Below are 23,146 nucleotides of genomic sequence, written 5' to 3'. Positions count from 1 at the left end.
CGCCCACCTCCCAAAGTGCTGGGATTACAGGCGTGAGCCACGGCACCCGGCCCATCCAGTTAACCGAAAAAAAAAAAAAAAAAAAAAAAAAAAAAGTATATGTATATGTATGCTTTTTTTTTTTTTTTTTTTTGGTAGAGACGTGATCTCACTATATTGCCTGGGCTGGTCTCCAACTCCCAGCTGAGTGTTCCTCCTGCCACAGCCTCACAAAACCCTGCGATTATAGGCATGAGCCACTGCGTCTGACCAACAAAGCCCTTCCCGACACTAACTCCCTGGCTTGATTCTCCCTGCTTGACTTATCCTTCTTGGGAGTTCCTATGATTTATTTAGCAAGCTGGCCATTTTTCTTTTTCTAAAAAAAAATTATTTATTTGTGCATTTTTTAGTAATAGAGACGAGGTCTCCCTAATGTTGCCCAGGCTGGTCTCAAACTCCTGGGCTCAAGTGGTCCTCCTGCCTTGGCCTCCCAAAGTGCTCGGACTACAGGTGCGAGCCACCACCCCTGCCAAACTGGGCATTTTTTGGGGCTTCATGTCAGTTTCCCTGGGGCAGGGAGTTTGCCTGTGTAGATCCCTGTTGTGTCCTCTACCCCTAGGACCTGGCCAGGTACACAGTGGGTGCTCACAGTCCTTCGTGGAAAAAATGAACAAAGAATTACTTCCATTCCTCCTAACCTAACTCCCTGTTTTGTTCCACATTAACGTGGCTCAAACAGGAATAGGGCTCAGAAGCATTATCTGTGGCTGGGCAGACAGACGACCTCCTTTGACAGCTGCCAAGGTGGGTAGCCAGCAGTCAGGGGCCTATTGAGACCGCAGTGTTACCTGACGAATTGCTCACACTGCCGGTGGATCCTGCCATCTGCAGGAAGGGGGCTGGCAGGATGATTCCTGGGAGTAGTAACTGTCAGCTCTTAGGGAAGAGAGCTGAGGAATTCCCCAGCCAGCATGGGCCTGTGAGAGACTGTCAAAGGCACAGTCCTTTCCTGATGTCTTTCCAGGGAAGCTGTGACATGGCCGTCGACAGATGCTATGGTCTGAATGTTTGCCTCTTCCCAAAATTCACATGCTAAAGCCTATCTCCAATGTAGTGGTATTAAGAAGTGGGGCTGGCTGGGCACGGTGACTCACGCCTGTAACCCCAGCACTTTGGGAGGCTGAGGAGGGCGGATCACGAGGTCACGAGGTCAGGAGATAGAGACCATCCTGGCTAACATGGTGAAACCCCATCTCTACTAAAAATACAAAAAATTAGCCAGGCACAGTGGTACGTGCCTGTAATCCCAGCTACTCGGGAGGCTGAGGCAGGAGAATCGCTTGAACTCAGGAGGCGAAGGTTGCGGTGAGCCGAGATCGGGCCAATGCACTCCAGCCTGGTGACAGAGCAAGACTCCGTCTAAAAAAAAAAAAAAAGTTAGGCCTTTCAGCCAGGTATGGTGGTTCACGCCTGTAATCTCAGCACTTTGGGAGGCCGAGGTGGGCGGATCACCTGAGGTCAGGAGTTGGAGACTAGCCTGGCCAATATGGTGAAACCCCATCTCTACTAAAAATACAAAAATTAGCTGGGCGCAGTGGTGCACGCCTGTAATCCCAGCTATTAGGTAGGCTGAGGCAGAATTGCTTGAACCTAGGAGGTGGAAGTTGCAGCGAGCCAAGATCACGCCACTGCACTCTAGGCTGGGCAACAGAGCAAGACTCCATCTCAAAATAAAAAAGAAGTTGTTGATCAAAAATTTAAAAAGGGCTGGGTGCAGTGGCTCACGCCTGTAATCCCAGCACTTTGGGAGGCAGAGACAGGCGGATTACCTGAGATCAGGAGTTCGAGATCAGCCTGGGCAACACAGTGAAACCCCGTCTCTACTAAAAATACAAAATTAGCCTGGCATGCTGACACATGCCTGTAATCCCAGCTACTTGGGAGGCTGAGGCAGGAGAATCGCTTGAACCTGGGAGGCGGAGGATGCGGTGAGTCAAGATCGCACCACTGCACTCCAGCCTGGGCAACAAGAGTAAATCTCCGTCTCACCAAAAAAAAAAAAAAAAAAAAAAGTGGGGCCTTCGGGAGTTGATTCAGTCAGGAGGGCTCTGTCCTCATGAATACGAACTGTGCCCGTATAAAAGAGGGGGAGCTTGTTTGTCCTTGCCACCCTGTGCAGATACCTAAAAGGTGCTATCTATGAGAGATGGGCCCTCACTAGACACGGAATCTGCTAGCACCGTGATATGGGACTTCCCACCCTCTACAACTATGAGCAGCTCATCTCTGTTGTTTATCAATGGCCCAGTCTGTTTTGTTTTTTTGAGACAGGGTCTTGCTCTGTCACCCAGGCTGAAGCGTAGTGGTGCAATCTTGGATCACTATAGCGTCAAACTCCTGGGCTCAAGTTATCCTCTCACCTCAGCCTCCTGAGTAGCTGGGACTAGGGATGTGTGCCACCACGCCCGGCTAATTAAAACAATTTTTTGCAAAGACGAGAGACATATGTTCTCAGGACCTCCTGAGGGCTGTGTCACGGGTGAAAAACAAATTAAAATTAAATTTTTTTGTAAAGATGAGGTCTCACTATGTTGCCCAGGCTGGTCTCGAACTCCTGGGCTCAAGCAATCCTCCCATCTCAGCCTCCTAAATGCTGAGGTTAGAGGCATGAGCAATGTGCCTGGCTTCCAGTCTAAGGTATTTTATTACAGCAGCCCAGATGGGCTAAGACCTACAAGCCAGTTAAGGGAGACCAGCAACTCCAAGTGTAACAAGGAACAAAGGCCCCAGAGAGCCCCACAGTCCTTCATGCAGCTCAGCAGGATGTGGCTGGATCCTGGCAGCTACTCAGGTTGCCTGCCTGACCCAGAACCAGAAAGACCCCTCTGTAGGGGCTGAATGTGAAGGCAGTCCAGGAAAACAGTTAGTGAAGAACAAACTGTTCAGTGGGGGGCGGTGACTCCTACCTGTAATCCCAGAACTTCGGGAGGCTGAGGCAGGAAGACGCTTGAAGCCAGGAGTTTGAGACCAGCCTGGGCAATACAGCAAGACCTCATCTTGCATCAGTATTTTTTTTTCTTTTTTGTTGAGACAGTCTTCCTCTGTCGCCCAGGCTGGAGTACAGTGGCGTGATTTCGGCTAACTGCAACCTCCGCCTCCTGGGTTCAAGCAATTCTCGTGCCTCCGCCTCCTGAGTAGCTAGGATTACAGGCACACACCACCATGCCTGGCTAATTTTTGTATTTTTAGTAGAGACTGGGTTTCTCCATGTTGGCCAGGCTGGTCTCAAAACTCCTGGCCTCAAGTGATCCGCCCACCTCAGCCTCCCAAAGAGCTGGGATTACAGGCGTGAGCCACTGCACCTGGCCTGTATTTTTTTTCTTATACACCCACAGATTTAATTCGTTATCTCTTTCCCTGAATGACTATTGTTAAATCCATGGTGGAATAGGATTAGTAACAGTGTCCCCTACTCAAGCCTCACTGACTGGGCCCATACCTGGCCAGGGCTCAGACAGGCTCATTTAACTTACTCTTCTTTACAGTTTCTGAGGAAGAAATGAGCCTGCCTGCCATTTCATGGATGGGAATGAGGCCCAGAGAGGTGAAGCCAGAGGTGGGGAACATGTAGCTGGTGAATGGCAGGCACAGGTTTATACCCAGGCCGTCTGGCTCCCGAATCAGGCAAAAATGTGAGGCAGCTGTGACTAGACCCATTTCACAGGTGGGAAAACTGGTGTTCAGAGAAGCAAGGCAGAGACCAGACGGGAACCCCGGACCGGCCGAGCCCAGAGCTGGGGCTCTTTACCTGAGCTACTGGATGTGTCCTCTCCAGAAACAGGGTCTTCTGCCTGTCTGAGGACCTCCACCTCAGGGTCTGGGGTGCCCTCTCTCTAATCCCCAAGGAAGGCCTTCTTCATTCTTTTCATTCTTCCTTTCCCAATCCTCCCAACTGCAGCTATTCTCTAGCCCCTTCTCCCTGCAACCACCATCTCCGGGAATGAGCAGTCTCCGCGTGCTGCCTCTCCCTCCTCCCACTCGCTCCTCCTCGCAGCCCTCGGCAATCTGGCCTCCCTTTGCAGGCAGCAGCTCCAGCTCCTTGGAGAGCCTGGCAGAAGCTCTGCCTCCGTCCTCATGGAGCTCGCAGCCTGCCCGCTCCCTCCCCACCAACTCCAACCATAAGCCCACCCTTCGGAGTTACATCCCACTCCCTGCGTGTAATCAGATCATACCCAAAAGACAGGGCAGCAGTGGCGGCAACCAAGGGTGGAGGGAACAACAGTAAGTGCAAAGGCCCTGAGGTGACCCTGGTGCCGCTAACACAAAGGAGGGTGGAGGGATGGGGATCATCCTGGGAGAGGGGCCTGCTGGGCTGTGCTAGGGAACCACGCAGGACCTAAGATTTTGAATCCTACTATTGTACTAGGCTCAAATCCCTTATAGAGCTTGTCACTCAGAATTACCCTCAATACTGCTCACCCCCCATATCAGTCTCCCATCTAGAAAATGGGCTGACAGCAGCAGCCACCTCACAAGGCTATTTCAAGGATTAAACAACCAAAGAACACAGGCCGATCGGCGCTCGCCCCGTAGTCGGTGCTCATGAATGCCAGCTGCTGTTAGTCGTATCCCCTGGCCCCGTGCTGGGCCGCAAACTCCCTGGGAGTAGAAGACATCTTATGCCTCTCACCATCTCCCAGACCTCGCACATTTCATGGGATTAACAGGCAGTGATCGCTGGGGTTTTCCCCAGAGCCTTCACAGCACTGTCCACTCACACCCCAGACGCCAACCTCTCCCGCAAACCTCATGATAACCAGACAGTGGAGATTCCCCACCCAGCCACTGCATTTGCGTCAATCATTCTTTGTGGTGGGGGCTGCCCTACACACTGTCTGATGTTGAACCGCATCCCTGGCCTATAAACCCACTAGATGCCAGCAGCACACCCCCCCCCCCCCGGCAGGGGCAACCAAAAATGTCCCCAGACATTCCCCAAGTGTCCCCGGAGGTAGGACTGTACCCAGTTGCGAATCACAGCAGTATAGTTGTGCCCACTTGTCACTCCTTATCAGAGGAGGACACTGAGGCTCAGAGGTAAAGACCTTTGCCCAGAGTCTCATGGCTGAGACAGGGGTGGTGCTAAGTGTGAAATTTCACTCTCTACTAGACCGTGTCTGCTCACCCTTACCTACCCTCTCCCTTTGCTCGATTTAGAAACCACGAACTGGACACAGTCAAAGCCCTCAGAGAAGACGCACAGGTCTCTAAGAACTGAGACCTTCGCCAAGGAGGCAGCACATGAGAAGGCTGGAGGGACATGACCACAACCACACACAGATCACAACCTAAGACACGTCACCTCTGCCGGCTCGGCTGGTCCTCACCCCACCTAATGTGCAAGCAGGCCCAGTCCCACCTCCCGGCCCCACCTCATGCGGCCCAGAGGGTTCTCTAGGGGAAGGCAGTAGCGGCTGAGAGGACTGAGGAGCAAATGCAGACACGAGGAACATGAAAGTGGCTGGAAGGCGGCACAGGGGTGGTAGCCAGACCACTTTGCAGCTTGTGTGAAGGAAGGACTAGGGTGCCTCAGTTGCCTTGTGTGTCAAATGATGATAACAGGCAGGACCTGCTAGCCACGGGCTTAAATGAGTTCGAGTGTGTACAAGTGCTGAGAGCAACCTAGGAGGAGAAACGAGGGGCACGGAGGATCTGAGGACGCAGAGTGGCATGAACACTGACTCATGTTTTCCAGCCCCGGTGGCTCACCACCATCCCAAAAGCAATATGCCCCACCAAGCCTGATGGGATCCCTCTCTCCACACAGGCTCTGGCAATGACACTGATGAAATCTAGGGTCAGACAATGTTGGGCCAACCCCAAACTCTCTCCAAACCCCCGGGCCTCCAGGCAGACTCCTTCAATAGACCCTGTAAGGCTGACCAAAACTCACATCTCCTCAAAGCCCAGCTCAAGAACCTGCTGGGGCTCCCTGCTGCCCGGCCAGGAGGCCAGATTTTTTAAATACCCTAGATGCAGGCCAAGGGGTTCTGAACTTCCATCTGGGGGTGATGGGCAGATCCAGGAGACCCAGAGACAGGGCTTCACTCTCTTGTGAATGGTACTAGAGTCTCTGTCTCCACAGTAGGGTCATCCCCCCACTCCTTCCCTCATGAAGACAAAATGTTTAGAGCACTCAGAAGAAGACTGGTACATACTCAAGAAAAGCTGTGAATGTGCTGTCCCCTGAGCCTAGAACACTGACCCCTCCCTGCGCCCCAGCACCACCCACCCCTTAGCTAACATTATTATTCAGATCTTAGCTCTCCGGGAACACTTCCGGCCACCCATCGAAACCTCCCCATCCCCTCATGGCTCATAATGACTTCACTTTGCTACACCATCTTTGTAAACACAGAAGTATGTGAAATTATCTTGATCCTTTGCTTGTGAAAGTTTGGTCGCTTGAGAGCTAGCTGCTCTGGATCTGTTACTCCGGGATGCTTCCCCAGCCCCCAGCGGGGAGTCAGCACCCAGCAGTGAAATAAAACTGTCTCAACGGGCTGCCTACTTGTTGCACTTGCCCCCACAGAGTCTGTGCATGCTAAGTTCTCACCGAAAAGCAGTTATTACTGGTGCCTTCTCCTCTACCTCTAGGCACAAACCGGAGCTGCCTGAGGCACTGCCTGTCCCCCACTCACCAGGGCCAACTCCCAACAGTCTCAGCTAAGTGACTGGATGGTACCACCAATCCCCTATCCCTGGTATCCAACCCAGCTTAGGTCCAGGAGGACCCAGTCTGTGCTGAAGCAGACCTGCAGCAATCCTGGCCCAACCAGCCAGGAAGGATGGTTCAGTCTCTTTGCGGGACTGCTGGCCCAGTTCCTACTCCTCCTAGAACCAAGTGGCTAGCCAGACAGGCAAGAAGGGCAGGGCCCAGGTTGGAGGGTGTCCTGGGAACTATAGGGAGACTGGGGAGAATTAGGGTGACAACCCATCATTAAACCCAGAACTGGCTGACACCACTTGACCCAGCAGTTTGTGGCTCCTGCCTCAGGTGCTGAAGATCCCAAATCAAAGTCCCAAGGACACCCTGGTAACAGCCTTGCAATTAGCCCAGAAAGGAACAAAAGCTGCTGCCATCCGACTGGGGGCCAAAGTGGGGCAAAAACAGTCTAGGCAAGCAAAGTCAAGTCCAGCCCTGGTGGTGCCAGGCCTCCTCAGCTTCCCACGGTCAGCCCACAGTTCCATGACTCCTGACCTCTTGGCTCCCAGGAGGGAAATGGGGAAGAAGGGGTGACCAGGCCTCCGAGAAAGATACCTCCACTGTTCCATTCCCCGGGGACACCATGGAAACTCAGTCTGTCCCAAAGGGGATTGACCCATCCCCCGGGGTGAGCAGAAGGGAAGGCCTGGACGGAGGAGAACGCCCGCCAGGGAATCCAGAACGAGGAGCTCCTTCAGTCACCCTCCTGGAAGGCCACTTGAGTGACTATGGGTTTGGGCTGAGGGTCAGACAATCCCAGTTCAGCCACTGTCTGCTCATGTGATCTGAGACAAGCCACACCACCCCGAGCCTCAGCTTCCTCGTCTGGACCCCAGAGAAGGCCTAAGTTGAACTGGTGGTGGTGAGCCATCAATGAGCTCATCCGACCAGCGAGCTCGGCACAGGGCCTGGCCCAGGACGAGTGTCCCAGAGGTAGATCCCTGGGCCAGGGTGTGAGTGCCTGATTTGATCCCCTTAACTCTTCTCTGTGCCCTGCCTTCACCCCGTCGGGAGCCTCCAAACCACCATCAACAGAGTTTTACATGCTCATTCCCTCTAATTCTTCACCCCCAGGGAGATGGCACACAGAACTCAGGCTCAAGGAGTTGGTGCCTGGGAGGCCATGGTACTAATATATACGATGGTTGCTGTGAGGTCCCATCCACTAGGCTTGAACCACCAGCTTCTGGCCACAAAAGGTAGAGAAAGAATGCAGGATCCTAAAATACCCAGGTAACGTCTGCTGGGCTGCCTCCCTGTAGATATATAAGGTGGGGGTGGGCAAGGGCCACCTTGTGATAAACAAGATGCCTAAGCTAGGTGTTCCAGACTGTCTCCAGCTGCCCACACAAACACCCACTGGCCAGTGCCTTTGAACAGTTGGCAGAGGCTTGCCCAAGGGGTAGGGTCAGGACTCTAGAGGCTTCAGGGATGAGGTGTGAGAAAGACGGAACCCCTTAACACTTGAGTTGGGGGCGGTGGGGGGCGCATCTTAGTATATACCTTCTGGTCACACCAGCTTTTCCTGACCTGCCCCCACATCCCCCCTAGCCTAGCCCAAAAGGCTCTGCTCTCTCGACTCCCAAAACTCCTACAGCAGTCCCTCACCTTACCTGATCGCCCCCACATCTAGCCTCCCCCTCCCCACATCTGAGTCCTGACCTCATGTGACCCCCGGAAAACATCTCTGGGATCTCCTATCCGCCCCCACACGAAGTAACTCCGCCCACACCCGCCGTGCCCCACTTCCTGGGCTTCTCCTCAGCCGCCCCCAGGCCTGTAACTTGACCCACCCACCTCCTCCAGCGCCCAGGCGGTACCTGCAGGCCCGGCCCCTCCCCGCCCCCCTCCGGCCGCGCCGCTCTCCTCTCCTCCCCCACTCGGCCTGGCCGGAGCCCGACTCCTCCTCCCCCTCCCCCTCCCCCTCCGGCATCCACGAGAACCTCCTCACTTTTCCGCCTCGGACCCTCCAACTTCCCCGGATCCCCGGTACCTGCCCCGGCCCGACCTGGCCCCCTCCCTCGCTGGGAGACGGGGGAGCGGTCCAGGTACGATCCTGCCGCCCCCAAGCCCTGAAGCTCGGGCTGGACGCTCAAGGCCGCCCGCGGTAGCTGGGCCTCCACACACTCGCCTGCCCGGGCACAGTGCAGGCTGCGGGCCCGGCTCCTCCTCGGTCCGAGAAAGCACCCAGGCCCTCCCCACTCAGCCCTCGGGCCGCCCCGGCTGGAGGAGGCCGGAACCGGGCCTGAGGCGGGCCGCCTCACCTGCGCCGTGGCCGCGCTCCGGGGGGTCCCGGCGGGCTCCGCAGCGGCGGCTGGGGCCGGGCCTGGGCCCGGGGCGCGCCCCGCTGCGCCGGGGCCTCGGCCTCCGCCTCCGCGGCCTCCGCGGCCTCCGCCTCAGCAGCAGCGGCAGCCGCGGCGGCCATTCATTGTGGGCCAGGCCGCCCCAGCCGAGCGCCGAGCGAGCGCAAGCCGCGCTGCCGCCGCAGCCAGGCCAGGGAGGAGCGGCCCCGGCCCCGCCCGCGCACCGCCCTCGGGCCCCGCCCTCCAGGCGAGGCCAGCCGAGCTCCGAGCGCGCCCCTTCTAACCGGCTCCGTCTCCTCTCTATGCCCCTGGGGGATCCTCGCCAGTACGTCGGCTCAGCTCGATGGTTCGAATCCTGGCCCCGCCACCTTCTAGTCCCGCGACCTTGGGCAAGTCGCTCTACCTTTCCGAACTTTAGTTTCCTGTAAAACAAAAACAATAATGACTGCTGTTTATTGTGGCAGGCACTGCGTTACATTCTTTATGGGAATTAGCTCGTTTAAACTACACAGTAACATTTTTTAGTGAGAACTGCTACAGACACACTATAGAAAATAAAGGCAGCTGGGCGCGGTGTCTCACGCCTGTAATCCCAGCACTTTGGGAGACCGAGGTGGGTGGATCGCCTGAGGTCAGGAGTTCGAAACCAGCCTGGCCAATATGGTGAAACTCTGTCTCTACTAAAAATACAAAAATTAGCCGGGCGTGATGGCATGCGCTTGTAATCCCAGCTACTCGGGAGACTGAGGCAGAAGAATCGCTTGCACCCGGGAGGCGGTGGTTGCAGTGAGCCGAGATCATGCCACTGCACTCCAGCCTGGGCGAGACTCCGTCTCAAAAAAAAAAAAAAAAGAAAGAAAGAAAGAAAAGGAGGCACAGAGAAATGAAGAAAGCTGGTCAAGATCATCACACAGCAAGGAAGTGATGGTAGGTGCCAGGATTTAAACACAGGCTCAAAAGCGACAATAAGACCTAAGACTTTTATGATGCTTACCGGATGCTAGGTTCTGTTAGCATTTTACCTGCACTAACTCGTTTACTTCTCACTACAACCCAGTAACAAATGGTAAAAAAAAGTTCTGCCCATTTTGCAAAAGCGGTAACTTAAGTTCAGAGTTAACAAGTCGCAGGGCGAGCTGAGACTGGAACCCAGGTAGCCGGGACCACTTCGCTGTCCTGCCTTCATACACTGGTTAGAACTTTACCGAGCGCTTACAATGTTAGAGTGGTTCTTTGCACACTTTCCAGGAATCTGTCATTTAATCTTTGCTCTATCTGAGAAACCACGATTCTCATTTAATAGGTAAGAAAAGTGAAGCCGCGGGAGTAACCTGCCCAGAGCATGTGATGGGACTGAGATTCAAACCCGGTAAATCCAACTCCAGAGCCTGAGTCATTCCTGCAGGGTGCTCTGAAATAATGTGTATATAGCACCCAGAACACAGAAGAGGACCAATAAGTGTTGGGTTTCTCCGCTTACCGCCCCTTTTCTGAGCCACAACTTCCTCATCTGTGAAATGGGACTAGGGACGTGTCCTCTCCCAGGGGATCCACTGTGATTAACACCCCCGGAACAGCACGATCAGCGCGCTTCCTTTATGGCTTTCATTTTGATCCCGGCCGCCCACCGTACGTTTCCTCATTGACTGGCCAACCACTATCATGTGATTCGCCCACCCACTGTGCCAACATGGCGGCGCCCAGGTCCTAATTCGGGAAACGTGCACCTTGACTAATTCGGTTTTCTGTGGCTACGAGAGCAGGTGAGGACGGGCTAGGCAGCGCGGGGAGGGATTCGGACTCGGGGCGGGCCTGCACGAGGGCATCGGCTCCACAGGGACCAGTCATCCCCAAAACGAGGGGATATCAGCTTACCGAGGCCGCAGGTTTTCCTAGTCCCTACCTCATAGATATGTAGGACATCCCCGGGCCCGGAATGCGGCTCTCTGACCCTCTCTGTGCCCTCCCCCGCCCCCCGAACCAGGCTTGGCGGGCGGAGGCGCCAGCGGATGTCTCATGCAAGGATCGTCTCTGTGGCTAAGCCTCACTTTCCGCTCCGCCCGGGTGCTCTCTAGAGCCCGGTTTTTCGAGTGGCAGTCTCCAGGGCTGCCGAATACAGCAGCGATGGAGAACGGCACCGGGCCCTACGGAGAAGAACGTCCACGTGAAGTCCAGGAGACGACAGTCACCGAGGGGGCTGCCAAAATCGCCTTTCCCAGTGCCAACGAGGTCTTTTATAACCCGGTGCAGGAATTCAATCGGGACCTGACGTGAGCAGGGGTCAGACGTTAGCCTGGCATCGGCTAGTGGGTCAGTGTGGATGGCGGGGGCGGGGTATGAGCTAGTCCTCTGTCTCCCACCAGATGTGCTGTGATCACCGAGTTTGCTCGCATTCAGCTTGGGGCCAAAGGAATCCAGAGTGAGTGGAGGTCCAGGCTTCTGGTGGGCGGGGGTCACACAAGTTTATCTCCCTGCCTGGGCTCTTCTGCCGCCCAAATCCAGAGGGGCTTCAGCCACATAGCAGGCCCTGGGTTCTGCTCCTTCAGCCTTTCCGCAGGGATTTCAGGGACGATATTTTGGAGATTAAGGGGAGGTTTCTCAGAGGGGACCTTGTTATTCTCTGACTTGTGCCTCTGGGTGGCTGCAGTCAAGGTTCCAGGAGAGAAGGACACGCAAAAAGTGGTCGTGGACTTGTCAGAGCAAGAGGAGGAAAAGGTTGAACTGAAAGAGAGTGAAAACCTGGCCTCAGGAGACCAACCTCGCACAGCGGCCGTGGGGGAGATCTGTGAGGTGGGGCCTGAGCATAGGAGCTGGCAGCCCTGGAATTTAGCGGGAGACAGAGGGCTCCTGGAGGGGGAGAGCTATAGGAGGTGGGTGGTGGGGGCTCCTTGGGGCCCAGAAGAGGATGGAGGTGGAGATGTGAGGGAGGTTTTCTGCTTACTCCAACAGGAAGGCCTGCATGTGCTGGAAGGCCTGGCAGCTTCAGGCCTACGTTCCATTCGATTTGCCCTAGAGGTGCCTGGGCTCAGATCTGTGGTTGCAAACGATGCCTCCACCCGGGCTGTGGATCTCATACGCCGGAATGTCCAGCTCAATGACGTGGCCCACCTGGTACAGCCGAGCCAAGCAGATGCCCGGTAGGTTCTGGGCATCACAGCCTAGCTCTGGGACAAGCCTGCCTGGGGTCAAATTCTGGCTCTGTCACATTCTCACTCTGTGACCTTGAGTGAGTGACTTAGCCTCTTTGAGCCCCAGTTTCCTTGTCTGTCAACTGAGAAAATTAGTTTTACAGGGGTTGCTGTGATGAGTAATAGATAATTATGGTATGATCCATACTCTGTGCCAGAAATAAGTAGCATCCTGGTCTCTGTTTTAACTTCTTACACTCCTTTTATTCATTCAAATGAGCCATAGTATATCCAGTGTCTGCTATGTGTCAGGCACCGTTTTCAAGAACTGGAAATGCATCAGGAAACAAAACATGCAAAATTGGTGACCTTCGCAAGAGTTGGCAAACTATAGCCTGTGGGGCTCACAGCCTTTTTTTGTTTGTTTGCTTGTTTGTTTGTTTTTTGAGATGTAGTCTCGCCCTTGTTGCCCAGGCTGGAGTGCAGTGGCACGATCTCAGCTCATTGCAACCTCCGCCTCCCGGGTTCAAGCCATTCCCCTGCCTCAGCCTCCCGAGTAGCTGGGATTACAGGCACGTGCCACCACGCCTGGCTAATTTTTATTTTTATTTATTTATTTATTTTTTGACACGGAGTCTCGCTCTGTTGCCCAGGCTAGAGTGCACTAGCGTGATCTTGGCTCACTGCAACCTCCGCCTCCCAGGTTCAAGTGATTCTCCTGCCTTAGCCTCCCGACTGAGTAGCTGGGACTACAGACATCTGCTACCACACCCACCTGTATTTATAGTAGAGATGGGGTTTCACCATGGTGGCCAGGATGGTCTCGATTTCCTGACCTCGTGATCTGCCCGCCTCGGCCTCCCAAAGTGGTGGGATTATAGGCATGAGCCACTGCACCTGGCTATGCCAGGCTAATTTTTATATTTTTAGTAGAGACAGGGTTTTGCCATGTTGGCCAGGCTAGTCTCAAACTCCTGACCTCAAGTGATCTGCCCACCTCGGCCTTCCAAAGTGCTGGGATTACAGACGTGAGCCACTGCGCCCGGCCTAGCCTAGTTTATCAATGGCCCACAACCCAAGAATGTTTTTTACATTTTTAAAGGTTAAAAAAGAAGACTATGCAGTAGGGACCACATATGACTCACAAAGCCTAAAATACCTTCTGACCTTTTACAGAGAAAAAAGTTTTTACTTTTCTGACCTTACTAGAATCCAAATAGTAATCACAGACAATGAAAAGTAATTAGCTGGGCATGGTGACTCATGCCTGTAATCAAGCATTTTGAGAGGCCAAGGCAGGAGGATCGCTTGAGGCCAGGATTTCAAGACCAGCCTAGGCAACACAGTGAAACCCGTCTCTACAAAAATTTTAAAATGAGGTCAGACGCAGTGGCTCACCCCTGTAATCCCAGCACTTTGGAAGGCCGAGGTGGGCGGATCACTTGAGGTCAGGAGCTCGAGACCAGCCTGGCCAACATGGTAAAACCTCGTCTCTACTAAAAATATAAAAATTAGCCAGGCATGGTGGCACGTGCCTGTAATCCCAGCTACTTGGGAAGCTGAGGCAGGAGAATCGCTTGAACCCAGGAGGTGGAAGTTGCAGTGCGCCGAGAACCCACCACTGCACTCCAGCCTGGGTGACACAGCGAGACTCTGTCTCCAAAGAAAGGAAAAAAAAAATGTGTTAATACATCTATAAACTGCTTGAAATGGTGTCAGGCAGATACGTCTTATATCAGTATTGTTGTTGTTTTAGATGTGTGGACTGAGTTCCACATGGTGCTTTTCCTAAGTAGGAAAATTGTGCAGTTTAATAAATGACCAAGGCCAGTGCAGTGGCTCACACTTGTAATCTCAGCACTTTGGGAGGCCGAGGTGGATGGATCACTTGAGGTCAGGAGTTTGAGACCAGCCTGGCCAACATGTTGAAACCCCATCTCTACTAAAAATACAAAAATTAGCTGGGCGTGGTGGCACATGTCTGTAGTCCCAGCTACTCTACTCGGGAGGCTGAGGCGCGAGAATTGCTTGAACTGGGGAAGCGGAGGTTGCAGGGAGCCGAGATCACAACACTGCACTCCAGCTGGCTGACAGAGCAAGACTCCGACTCAAAAATAAAATAAATAAATAAATAAATGACTGAGCCAGGACTTGAACTTGGGAATCTGGCCCCGGAGTTCAGACCCAAACCACTGTGCTGTACGAGTTAATATGTGTAGGGGACAGAGAAGGTACCTGGCGTGGGAGGCTGAGGACCTGGCCCTCTTTGCACCCAGGATGCTGATGTACCAGCACCAGAGGGTGTCGGAGAGGTTTGACGTCATCGATCTGGACCCCTATGGCAGCCCAGCCACCTTCCTGGATGCAGCTGTGCAGGCTGTGAGTGAAGGAGGTGAGGTGGGGATGGCACTGGGGTGGGAGCAGGGCTTGGGGTGTTGGAGGGTTCTCACTGCCCAGCCCCTCTCTGCAGGGTTGCTGTGTGTGACCTGCACAGACATGGCGGTGTTGGCGGGGAACAGCGGGGAGACGTGCTACAGCAAGTACGGGGCCATGGCCCTCAAGAGCCGGGCCTGCCACGAGATGGTGAGGGGCCCTCTGCCAGCCAGCCAGGGAGACCGGGGGACAGGTGGTTGTCTGAGTCCCTTCCCAATACACTTTCCCCCTCCTCAGACCTGCTCAGCTTCCTCCAGGCTGATGGCCAGATGCATCCCAGGCTGTTAACGACAGGCGTGTCTTCAACCCACATAGTTCCTAAGAGCATGGCTGATAATCATGGTCATTTGGGGACAGTGGCTTTGGCCAGGACAGGAGTGCATGGCCACATTATTTTAGTTTTCTGTATTAAAACAACTTTTCAAAAAAAAATTTTTTTTTTAAAGGTCGTTTTTCCAGGACTGGGTTTAAATCCTAGCTTTGCTGGTAGCTCTGGGCAAGTGACTTCACCTTTCTGGTCCTCGGGTTTTTTTGCATCTGTAAAATGGGCACAATGATGGTCTGAAGGCCGGGCGCAGTGGCTCACACCTGTAATCCCAGCACTTTGGGAGGCCTAGGCAGGTGGATCACCTGAGGTCAGGACTTTGAGACCAGCTGGCCAACATGGTAAAACCCCATCTCTACTAAAAATACAAAAATTAGCCAGGCATGGTGGCAGATACCTGTAATCCCGGCTACTCAGGAGGCTGAGGCAGGAGAATCACTTGAACCCAGGAGGCGAGGTTGCAGTGAGCCAAGATCACTCCGCTGCACGCCAGCCTGGGAGGGAGACCCCATCTCAAAAAGAAAAAAAATAGGCCGGGCGTGGTAGCTCACGCCTGTAATCCCAGCACTTTGGGAAGTCGAGGTGGGCGGATCATGAGGTCAGGAGATTGAGACCATCCTGGCTAACATGGTGAAATCTGATCTCCACTAAACATACAAAAACTTAGCCAGGCATGGTAGCGGGCACCTGTAGTCCCAGCTGTTCGGGAGGCGGAGGCAGGAGAATGGCGTGAACCCAGGAGGTGGAGCTTGCAGTGAGCTGAGACTGTGCCACTGCACTCCAGCCTGGGCGACAGAGCAAGACTCTGTCTCAAAAAAAAGAAAAAAAAATAGGCCGGGCGCGGTGGCTCACGCCTGTAATCCCAGCACTCTGGGAGGCCGAGGTGGGCGGTGTTCAAGAGGTCAGGTGTTCAAGAGCACCCTGGCCAACATGGTGAAACCCCGTCTCTACTAAAAATACAAAAAAAAAAAAAAAAAAATTAGCTGGGCGTGGTGGTGGGTGCTTGTAATCCCAGCTATTCGGGAGGCTGAGGCAGGAGAATCACTTGAACCCGGGAGGTGGAGGTTGCGGTGAGCCGAGATGGCACCATTGCACTCCAGCCTGGGCAACAAGAGCAAAACTCTGTCTCAAAAAAAAAAAAAAAAAATGGTCTGACCCTATTGAGTGTCTGATCAGGATTCAAGAAGGCTGAGTGGCGAAGTGCAGCGGCTCATGCCTGTAATCCTAGCACTTTCGGAGGCCAAGGTGGGAGGATCACTTGAGGTCAGGAACCTGGGCAACATAGCGAGGACCCCATCTCTACAAAAAAACCCTAAAAATTACCTAGGTGTGGTGGTGGATGCCTGTGGTCCCAGCTACTCTGGAGGCTGAGGCAGGAGGATCACTTGAGCCTAGGAGTTCAAAGTTATTGTGAGCTTTGATAGTGCCACTGCACTCCAGCGTGGTCCACAGAGGGCTCTTGCCCTTGTTCCTAAAGGGTCCTGTCATGAAGTCAGCCCGGGAAATGCTGTCTCCTTTCCCATATCAGAGTCTCACACTAGCAGGAAAGCCCTAGCCGTTTTGCTTTTTTTTCTTTTTTGAGATGGAGTTTCACTCTTGTTGCCCAGGCTGGAGTGCAGTGGTGAGATCTCAGCTAACTGCAACCTTCGCCTCCCAGGTTCAAGTGATTCTCCTGCCTCGGCCTCCCTAGTAGCTGGGATTACAGGCGCCCGCCACCACACCCAGCTAATTTTTTGTATTTTTAGTAGAGACGGGGATTTCATCATGTTAGCCAGGCTGGTCTCAAACTCCTGACCAGCCTCCCAAAGTGCTGGGATTACAGGCATGAGCCACCACGCCCGGCCCAGGCCCCAGCAGTTCTACAGCACCTAGTATCCCCACTTCCTGCCCACAGAGCCCTTGGGGGCTGGAACGTGGGTCCTCAGTACATGCCACATGGCACACCGATAATGCTGGTCAGAATAGGTTGGATCTATGCTTTCCTCACTCGTTTAGTGCCCCCAGCAGTGCCACAGACAGGGACTGTTGTGATTTTGCAGATGAAGAAACTGAGGCACAGAGAGGGGATACTCACTTGTTGAGGGTCCCACAGCCAGGACTTTCAGGGGTGGGCTTGGATCCCAGGGAGCTGGCCCTGAGCCTGTACTTGTGAGTACCACATAGGGCTCCTGGTGGGGTGGGTGGATAGTGGAGGGGAGGCTGACACCCACCCCCCACCCCCAGGCCCTGAGAATCGTCCTGCACAGCCTGGACCTCCGCGCCAACTGCTACCAGCGCTTCGTGGTGCCGCTGCTCAGCATCAGCGCTGACTTCTACGTGCGTGTTTTTGTCCGTGTCTTCACCGGCCAGGCCAAGGTCAAGGCCTCAGCCAGGTCAGCCCGGGGGCAGAGAGCGGTGGTGGATTGAGAGAGGAGACAGGACCTTGCCCTGGGGGATCTGGGGCTTCTTAAGGGACAGAGCCAGTCTAAGGGAGGAGTTGGGGTGTCGTGGTCACGCTGGGAACTCGTGGCCACTGGTACCCCCCACAGCAAGCAGGCGCTGGTGTTCCAGTGTGTGGGCTGCGGGGCCTTCCACCTTCAGCGTCTCGGCAAAGCGTCAGGAGTCCCCAGCGGCCGGTGAGCAGGGAGGAAGGAGAAGAAGGGGAGTCCCAGGGTTTTCCTCCCTCCCCACCAACCACCCCTCTCTGTTTAGGGCCAAGTTCTCTGCAGCCTGTGGTCCCCCTGTGACCCCCGAGTGTGAACACTGTGGGCAACGACACCAGGTAGGGCTAGGCCAGGGGAGGCAAAGGAGCAAGAGGGTCTTGAAGGTCATAGTCCCTGCTCACCTGTCCCCGGTGCGCCCCCAGCTTGGTGGCCCCATGTGGGCAGAGCCCATCCATGACCTGGATTTTGTGGGCCGTGTCCTGGAGGCTGTGAGCGCTAACCCCGGCCGCTTCCACACCTCGGAGCGGATCCGAGGGGTCCTGAGCGTCATCACTGAGGTGAGAGCCGGGCTGTGACGGGGAAGGGGGCTCCACCTGTGCCCGTCCATCTCCACTCATGCCCATCCTGTCCCCCATCGCAGGAGCTCCCGGACGTGCCTCTGTACTACACCCTGGACCAGCTGAGCAGCACCATCCACTGCAACACACCAAGCCTCCTGCAGTTGCGGTAAGAGCCCCTGGGGTCGGGAGGAGCCTGTCCCAGACCACAGGGTGGCCTGGGGCAAGTCCAGGGATTCTCATGCATAGAACTTGCGAGGGGGTGGGGAGAACCCGGTGCACTGTCTCATTCCTGTAATCCCAGTACCTTGGGAGGCTGAGGCAGGAAGATCACTTGAGGCCAACCTGGGCAACGTAGTAAGACCCTATCTCTAACAAATAAATAAATAAATATATATGTACACACACATACATATACACACACATACATACGTATGTATACACACACACACACACACACACACCCATTAGCCTGGCATGGTGATACATGCCTATAGTCCTAACTACTCAGGAGGCTGAGGTGGGAGGATCATTTGGGCCAGGAGTTTGATGCTAAAGTGAGCTATGATCATGCCACTCCAGCCTGGGTGACAAAATGAGACCCTGTCTCTTTAAAAAAAAAAAAAAAAAAAAAAAATTAGGCCAGGCTTATTGGCTCATGCCTATATTCCCAGCACTTTGGGAGGCTGAGGTGGGCAGATCACTTGAGGTCAGGAGTTCAAGACCAGCGTGGTCAAAATGGTTAAACCCTGTCTCTACTAAAAATACAAAAATTAGCTGGGTGTGGTGGCACATGCCTGTAGTCCCAGCTACTTGGGAGGCTGAGGCACGAGAATCACTGGAACCTGGGAGGAGGAGGAGGCGGTGGTGAGCCAAGATTGCGCCACTGCACATCAACCTGGGCAACAGAGCGAGACTCCATTTAAAATATAATAATAATAATTAGAAAAAGAAAAAGGCCAGGTGTGGTGGCTCATGCCTGTAATCCCAGCACTTTGGGAGGCTGAGGCGGGCGAATCACTTGAGGCCAGGAGTTCGAGACCAGCCCGGTCAACGTGGCGAAACCCCATCTCTACTAAAAATACCAAAATATTAGCCAGGCGTCATGGCACATCCCTGTAATCTCAGCTACTCAGGAGGCTGAGACAGGAGAATTGGTTGAACCTGAGAGGCAGAGGCTGCAGTGAGCCAAGATTGCATCATTGCACACCAGCCTGAGCGACAGAGTGAGACTCCACCTCAAAAAAATAATAAATAAGAAGGCCAGGCACGGTGGCTCACTCCTGTAATCCCAGCACTTTGGGAGGCTGAGGCGGGCGGATCACAAGGTTAAGAGATCGAGACCATCCTGGCCAACATGGTGAAACCCTGTCTCTACTAAAAATACAAAAATTAGCTGGGCGTGGTGGCACATGCCTATAGTCCCAGCTATTCGGGAGGCTGAGGCAGGAGAATCGCTTAAACCCAGGAGGCGGAGGCTGTGGTGAGCCAAGATTGCGCCATTGCACTCCAGCCTGAGCGACAGAGCGAGACTCCATCTCAAAAAAAAAAAAAAAAAAAAAAAGAAAAGAAAAGAAATGAACTCTGTAGCCATGAGCCCTTGCCGAAGGTAGTCTTACCTACGCTGGTCAGCTTGGGCTTTGGGGTCAAGGAGTCCGGCATCTCCCTCATAATCCCTGCTGTTCCCCAGGTCGGCCCTCCTCCACGCTGACTTCCGGGTCTCACTCTCCCACGCCTGTAAGAACGCTGTGAAGACGGATGCCCCTGCCTCTGCCCTCTGGGACATCATGCGTTGCTGGGTGAGGGCAGGGCTGACCTCATGCAGGTGGGAGGGCAGGTGGTGGTCACCTGGAGGTCCCTTGGGCCTAGTATTCCCTAACCTCTGACCTCTGCCCCCAGGAGAAGGAATGTCCGGTGAAACGGGAGCGACTATCAGAGACTAGCCCAGCGTTCCGCATTCTCAGTGTGGAGCCCAGGTAGGGGCAAGCACATGCAGGAGCGGCCAGGGCTGCCCACAGACATGGAAGCACATGTGTGTGCAGACAACACAGATGCTGCCCCACACAGACTCGTGCCCATTCTTCAAGTGAGATTCAAAATCTGCTGACTGGGGCTGGGTAGGTGGCTCACGCCTGTAATCCCAGCACTTTGGGAGGCTGAGGCAGGTGGATCACCTGAGGTCAGGAGTTCAAGACCAGCCTGGCCAACATGGTGGAACCCCATCTCTACTAAAAATACAAAAATTAGCTGGGCATGGTGTGGTGGTGGGTGCCTGTAATCCCAGCTACTCAGGAGGCTGAGACAGGAGAATCGCTTGAACCTGGGAGGCAGAGGTTGCGGTGAGTCTAGATCGCGCCATTGCACTCCAGCCTGGGCGACAGAGCGAGACTCCATCTCAAAAAGAATAAAAAAATAGCTGGGTGCGGTGGCTCATGCCTGTAGTCCCAGCACTTTGGGAGGCCGAGGCAGGCGGATCACGAGATCAGGAGATTGAGACCATCCTGGCTAACACAGTGAAACCCTGTCTCTACTAAAAATACAAAAAAAAAAAAAAAAAAATTAGCCGGGCGTGGTGGCAGGTGCCTGTAGTCCCAGCTACTCGGGAGGCTGAGACAGGAGAATGGCGTGAACCCCGGGGGGCAGAGCTTGCAGTGAGCCGAGATAGCGCCACTGCACTCCAGCCTGGGTGACAGAGTAAGACTCCGTCTCAAATAAATAAATAAATAAATAAATAAAAATAAAAATAACTAAATCTGCTGACTGGGCTGGGCGTAGTGGCTCACACCTGTAATCCCAGCACTTTGGGAGGCCAAGACAGGCAGATCACCTGAGGTCAGGAGTTCAAGACCAGCCTGGCCAACATGACGAAACCCTGTCTCTACTAAAAATACAAAAAAAAAAAAAAAATTAGCCAGGTGTGGTGGCACATGCCTGTAGTCCCAGCTACTCGGGAGGCTGAGGCAGGTGAATCGCTTGAACCTGAGGCAGAGTTTGTAGTGAGCCGAGATCGCACCACTGCACTCCAGCCTGGGCGACAGAGTGAGACTCCATCCCAAAAGAAAAGAAAATTAGCATTACCAGCATACCAGGGGTAACTTTTTGTCCATTTTGTTCACTGTCTATTCCCAGCACTGAGAACAATGCAGGCACACAGTCGTTAAATAAAAATGTTTATTAAGGCCAGGCATGGTGGCTCATTCCTATAATCCCAGTGCTTTGGGGGCCAAGGCGGGAAGATCGCTTGAGCCCAGGAATGAAACCAGCCTGGGCAACACAGTAATTAAGACTCCATCTCTACCAGAAAACTAAAAAAATTAGCTGGGCATGGTGGTACCTGCCTGTCGTCCCAGCTACTCAGGAGCTTGAGGCGGAGGCAGGAGGGTTGCTCAAGCCCAGGAGTTCCAGACTGCAGCTTTGATGGCGATCGCACCACTGCACTCCAGCCTGGGCAGCAGAGTGAGACCCTGTATCTTTATTTTATTTTTTTTTAGACAGAGGCTCACTCTCTTGCCCAGGCTGGAGTGCAGTGGTGCGATTTCAGCTCACTGCAACCTCCGCCTCCCAGGTTCAAGCGATTCTCCTGCCTCAGCGTCCCGAGTAGCTGGTATCACAGGCACCCGGCACCACGCCTGGCTAATTTTTGTATTTTTAGTGGAGATGGGGTTTCACCATGTTGGCCAGGCTGGTCTCGAACTCCTGACCTCAGGTGATCCACCCGCCTCAGCCTCCCAAAATGCTGGGATTTACAGGCATGAGCCACCGTGCCTGGCCGAGACCCCATCTCTTTAAAAAAACCAAAAATGTTTATTAGATGAATGAGAGAATCCTGACATGAGCAGACACCTCGTGCTGTGTTGTGGAGGCGGACAGGCCCTGTGGGGAGTGGGGACACACTCGTGTGGCAGCTTCCCCCAGCCCCAACGCCCCACCCCTGCTTCCCTAGGCTGCAGGCCAACTTCACCATCCGGGAAGATGCCAACCCCAGCTCCCGACAGCGAGGACTCAAGCGCTTCCAGGCTAACCCGGAGGCCAACTGGGGTCCCCGGCCTCGTGCCCGGCCAGGGTGAGTGGTGGTAAGGTGGGGGTGGGGCTCAGCCAGGGAAAGAAGGGGTAAAGGGCAGATGGGGTCCCACCTACTCCTCCCCTCGCACAGGGGCAAGGCGGCCGACGAAGCTATGGAGGAGAGACGCAGGCTGCTTCAGAACAAGCGGAAGGAGCCGCCGGAAGATGTGGCCCAGCGGGCTGCCCGGCTCAAGACATTTCCTTGCAAGAGGTTTAAGGAGGTGAGGTCCCTCCTCCCTTTCCTCCACTGCAGGACACATGAGTCTCCCCTTTGGGCAACAGGGAGAGAATTGGGGGAGCTGGGGCCAGGCAAGTGTTTGGGAGTGGGCTTCCCATCCCAGGAAAGGATCCCATCAGGGGCTGCTGAGCTCCGGGCAGGGGTTCACACCCACCATCTTCCCACCAGGGCACCTGTCAACGCGGGGACCAGTGCTGCTACTCCCACAGCCCCCCGACACCCAGGGTTTCTGCTGATGCTGCCCCTGACTGTCCAGAGACCTCCAACCAGACCCCCCCTGGACCTGGGGCTGCCGCTGGGCCAGGCATAGACTGAACCAATAAAGAGATGTCACGTCACCTTCTCCCGATTGCCTGTGGTTTGTGTATTGGTCCATACAGCTGCATGACTGGGATCTGTTCCTCTGGGGATCGTTCGCCCCTGCCTGGCTGGAGTGTTGAGTCTGTATGGGAGGTAGGAGCTGACCATCTGCACAGTGGTCGGCCCCTCTGCAGCGAGGGTCACTGAGCCACCCCAGAGCCGGAGCCAGCGATTCCCGAAGCGGCCACGGGGCGGCAGCTGTGCGCTCGCTCCCGCGGGGGTTCTGCCCCTCTTCCCCCTCCCACCTTCAGCGCTCTCCAGGCCACGGGCTTGCGCATAGTGGGGCGCTCCTGCCCGGTAGCCCCCACGTGTCTTCGCGCCGCTGCCTCCTCGCCGCCTGGTTTCTTTGGCCCAGCTCTCCAGGGGCCACAGTGGCGGAAGCTGGACCGGAACCAGGCGCCCTGTGCATCCGCTCCAGACCAGGTGCTTCCTGCCCTGAGGCCCGGGGCGAGGGGGGCGTGCACACAAAGAGGGACCTCGCAGGCTGCTGCCCAGACACCCAGTGAGGGGGAGCTGTACCCCTCCCTGCCCTCCAGAGTGGGGTTTAGTAACGTTAACGAAGAGTCCTG

The 23,146-nt window shown here is 54.7% G+C and overlaps 2 protein-coding genes and 1 long non-coding RNA gene across 10 annotated transcripts in view, besides 16 other annotated features; 1 reads left to right on the top strand and 2 right to left on the bottom strand.

The window, feature by feature from the left end:
* The window catches only part of NACC1 (nucleus accumbens associated 1), a 24,296-nt gene extending 13,681 nt beyond the window's left edge, over positions 1-10,615 (bottom strand). The window contains exons 1-2 of one of the 3 annotated variants that reach the window (XM_005259721.4): positions 10,532-10,615; positions 9,336-9,473 (exon numbers count right to left, since the gene is read on the bottom strand). The gene's annotated coding sequence lies outside the window, so the exon portion shown is untranslated. Of the gene's footprint in view, positions 1-8,741; positions 9,204-9,335; positions 9,474-10,531 lie in introns of those variants that run through there. The other 2 variants (NM_052876.4, XM_047438118.1) reach the window with 2 other exon arrangements.
* Positions 3,480-4,139: an enhancer, noted in NCBI's record as "H3K4me1 hESC enhancer chr19:13234142-13234801 (GRCh37/hg19 assembly coordinates)". NCBI's record gives its function as "activates a minimal SCP1, AML or CMV promoter by ChIP-STARR-seq in naive H9 embryonic stem cells {active_cell/tissue: H9 hESC(naive)}" and the evidence as "EXISTENCE:reporter gene assay evidence [ECO:0000049][PMID:30033119]".
* Positions 4,703-4,752: an enhancer, noted in NCBI's record as "active region_14111". NCBI's record gives its function as "activates an Ori minimal core promoter by ATAC-STARR-seq in GM12878 lymphoblastoid cells {active_cell/tissue: GM12878}" and the evidence as "EXISTENCE:reporter gene assay evidence [ECO:0000049][PMID:35858748]".
* Positions 5,123-5,192: a silencer, noted in NCBI's record as "silent region_10194". NCBI's record gives its function as "represses an Ori minimal core promoter by ATAC-STARR-seq in GM12878 lymphoblastoid cells {active_cell/tissue: GM12878}" and the evidence as "EXISTENCE:reporter gene assay evidence [ECO:0000049][PMID:35858748]".
* Positions 7,156-7,656: an enhancer, noted in NCBI's record as "H3K27ac-H3K4me1 hESC enhancer chr19:13230625-13231125 (GRCh37/hg19 assembly coordinates)". NCBI's record gives its function as "activates a minimal SCP1, AML or CMV promoter by ChIP-STARR-seq in primed H9 embryonic stem cells {active_cell/tissue: H9 hESC(primed)}" and the evidence as "EXISTENCE:reporter gene assay evidence [ECO:0000049][PMID:30033119]".
* Positions 7,657-8,158: an enhancer, noted in NCBI's record as "H3K4me1 hESC enhancer chr19:13230123-13230624 (GRCh37/hg19 assembly coordinates)". NCBI's record gives its function as "activates a minimal SCP1, AML or CMV promoter by ChIP-STARR-seq in primed H9 embryonic stem cells {active_cell/tissue: H9 hESC(primed)}" and the evidence as "EXISTENCE:reporter gene assay evidence [ECO:0000049][PMID:30033119]".
* Positions 8,594-8,643: a silencer, noted in NCBI's record as "silent region_10193". NCBI's record gives its function as "represses an Ori minimal core promoter by ATAC-STARR-seq in GM12878 lymphoblastoid cells {active_cell/tissue: GM12878}" and the evidence as "EXISTENCE:reporter gene assay evidence [ECO:0000049][PMID:35858748]".
* Positions 9,194-9,393: a silencer, noted in NCBI's record as "silent region_10192". NCBI's record gives its function as "represses an Ori minimal core promoter by ATAC-STARR-seq in GM12878 lymphoblastoid cells {active_cell/tissue: GM12878}" and the evidence as "EXISTENCE:reporter gene assay evidence [ECO:0000049][PMID:35858748]".
* Positions 9,434-9,583: an enhancer, noted in NCBI's record as "active region_14110". NCBI's record gives its function as "activates an Ori minimal core promoter by ATAC-STARR-seq in GM12878 lymphoblastoid cells {active_cell/tissue: GM12878}" and the evidence as "EXISTENCE:reporter gene assay evidence [ECO:0000049][PMID:35858748]".
* Positions 10,544-10,733: an enhancer, noted in NCBI's record as "active region_14109". NCBI's record gives its function as "activates an Ori minimal core promoter by ATAC-STARR-seq in GM12878 lymphoblastoid cells {active_cell/tissue: GM12878}" and the evidence as "EXISTENCE:reporter gene assay evidence [ECO:0000049][PMID:35858748]".
* TRMT1 (tRNA methyltransferase 1) lies at positions 10,727-22,560 on the top strand. 6 transcript variants are annotated; one of them, NM_001351761.2, is made up of 17 exons: positions 10,727-10,814; positions 11,127-11,321; positions 11,415-11,470; positions 11,699-11,841; positions 12,001-12,188; positions 14,456-14,571; positions 14,650-14,762; positions 17,161-17,309; positions 17,466-17,552; positions 17,629-17,698; positions 17,783-17,917; positions 18,001-18,086; positions 19,608-19,716; positions 19,817-19,893; positions 21,861-21,980; positions 22,071-22,200; positions 22,386-22,560. In NM_001351761.2, the coding sequence occupies exons 2-17, from the start codon at positions 11,176-11,178 to the stop codon at positions 22,530-22,532; spliced, it is 1,872 nt and encodes a 623-aa protein (NP_001338690.1). In that variant the 5' UTR covers positions 10,727-10,814; positions 11,127-11,175; the 3' UTR covers positions 22,533-22,560. The 6 variants fall into 6 exon arrangements, with proteins under 6 accessions (NP_001338690.1, NP_001129507.1, NP_001338689.1 ...); NM_001136035.4 differs by having other exon boundaries at positions 11,036-11,321; NM_001351760.2 differs by lacking the exon at positions 17,466-17,552 and having other exon boundaries at positions 11,036-11,321.
* Positions 17,316-17,816: an enhancer, noted in NCBI's record as "H3K4me1 hESC enhancer chr19:13220465-13220965 (GRCh37/hg19 assembly coordinates)". NCBI's record gives its function as "activates a minimal SCP1, AML or CMV promoter by ChIP-STARR-seq in naive H9 embryonic stem cells {active_cell/tissue: H9 hESC(naive)}" and the evidence as "EXISTENCE:reporter gene assay evidence [ECO:0000049][PMID:30033119]".
* Positions 21,427-21,506: a silencer, noted in NCBI's record as "silent region_10191". NCBI's record gives its function as "represses an Ori minimal core promoter by ATAC-STARR-seq in GM12878 lymphoblastoid cells {active_cell/tissue: GM12878}" and the evidence as "EXISTENCE:reporter gene assay evidence [ECO:0000049][PMID:35858748]".
* Positions 22,556-23,136: a transcriptional cis regulatory region, noted in NCBI's record as "genic|chr19:13215145-13215725 region (GRCh37/hg19 assembly coordinates) targeted for CRISPR interference". NCBI's record gives its function as "positively regulates LYL1 gene expression in K562 cells {active_cell/tissue: K562}" and the evidence as "EXISTENCE:mutant phenotype evidence [ECO:0000015][PMID:31784727]".
* Positions 22,556-23,146: a biological region, named in NCBI's record as "Sharpr-MPRA regulatory region 14065". NCBI's record gives its function as "regulatory_interactions: LYL1".
* Positions 22,561-23,051, bottom strand: LOC105372282 (uncharacterized). The gene is made up of 2 exons (XR_001753871.2): positions 22,823-23,051; positions 22,561-22,659 (listed from the first exon to the last, which is right to left on the bottom strand). It is a non-coding gene; the product is annotated as an uncharacterized LOC105372282 (long non-coding RNA).
* Positions 22,838-23,132: an enhancer, noted in NCBI's record as "tiled region #14065; HepG2 Activating non-DNase unmatched - State 12:CtcfO". NCBI's record gives its function as "activates a minimal TATA promoter and a strong SV40 promoter by Sharpr-MPRA in HepG2 cells {active_cell/tissue: HepG2}" and the evidence as "EXISTENCE:reporter gene assay evidence [ECO:0000049][PMID:27701403]".
* Positions 22,867-22,926: an enhancer, noted in NCBI's record as "active region_14108". NCBI's record gives its function as "activates an Ori minimal core promoter by ATAC-STARR-seq in GM12878 lymphoblastoid cells {active_cell/tissue: GM12878}" and the evidence as "EXISTENCE:reporter gene assay evidence [ECO:0000049][PMID:35858748]".
* Positions 23,067-23,146: an enhancer, noted in NCBI's record as "active region_14107". NCBI's record gives its function as "activates an Ori minimal core promoter by ATAC-STARR-seq in GM12878 lymphoblastoid cells {active_cell/tissue: GM12878}" and the evidence as "EXISTENCE:reporter gene assay evidence [ECO:0000049][PMID:35858748]".

Source organism: Homo sapiens, chromosome 19 (assembly GCF_000001405.40).
Source record: "Homo sapiens chromosome 19, GRCh38.p14 Primary Assembly".
In the NCBI taxonomy this organism is placed as follows: domain Eukaryota; kingdom Metazoa; phylum Chordata; class Mammalia; order Primates; family Hominidae; genus Homo; species Homo sapiens.
This window is presented reverse-complemented; position numbering and strand designations above follow the sequence as displayed.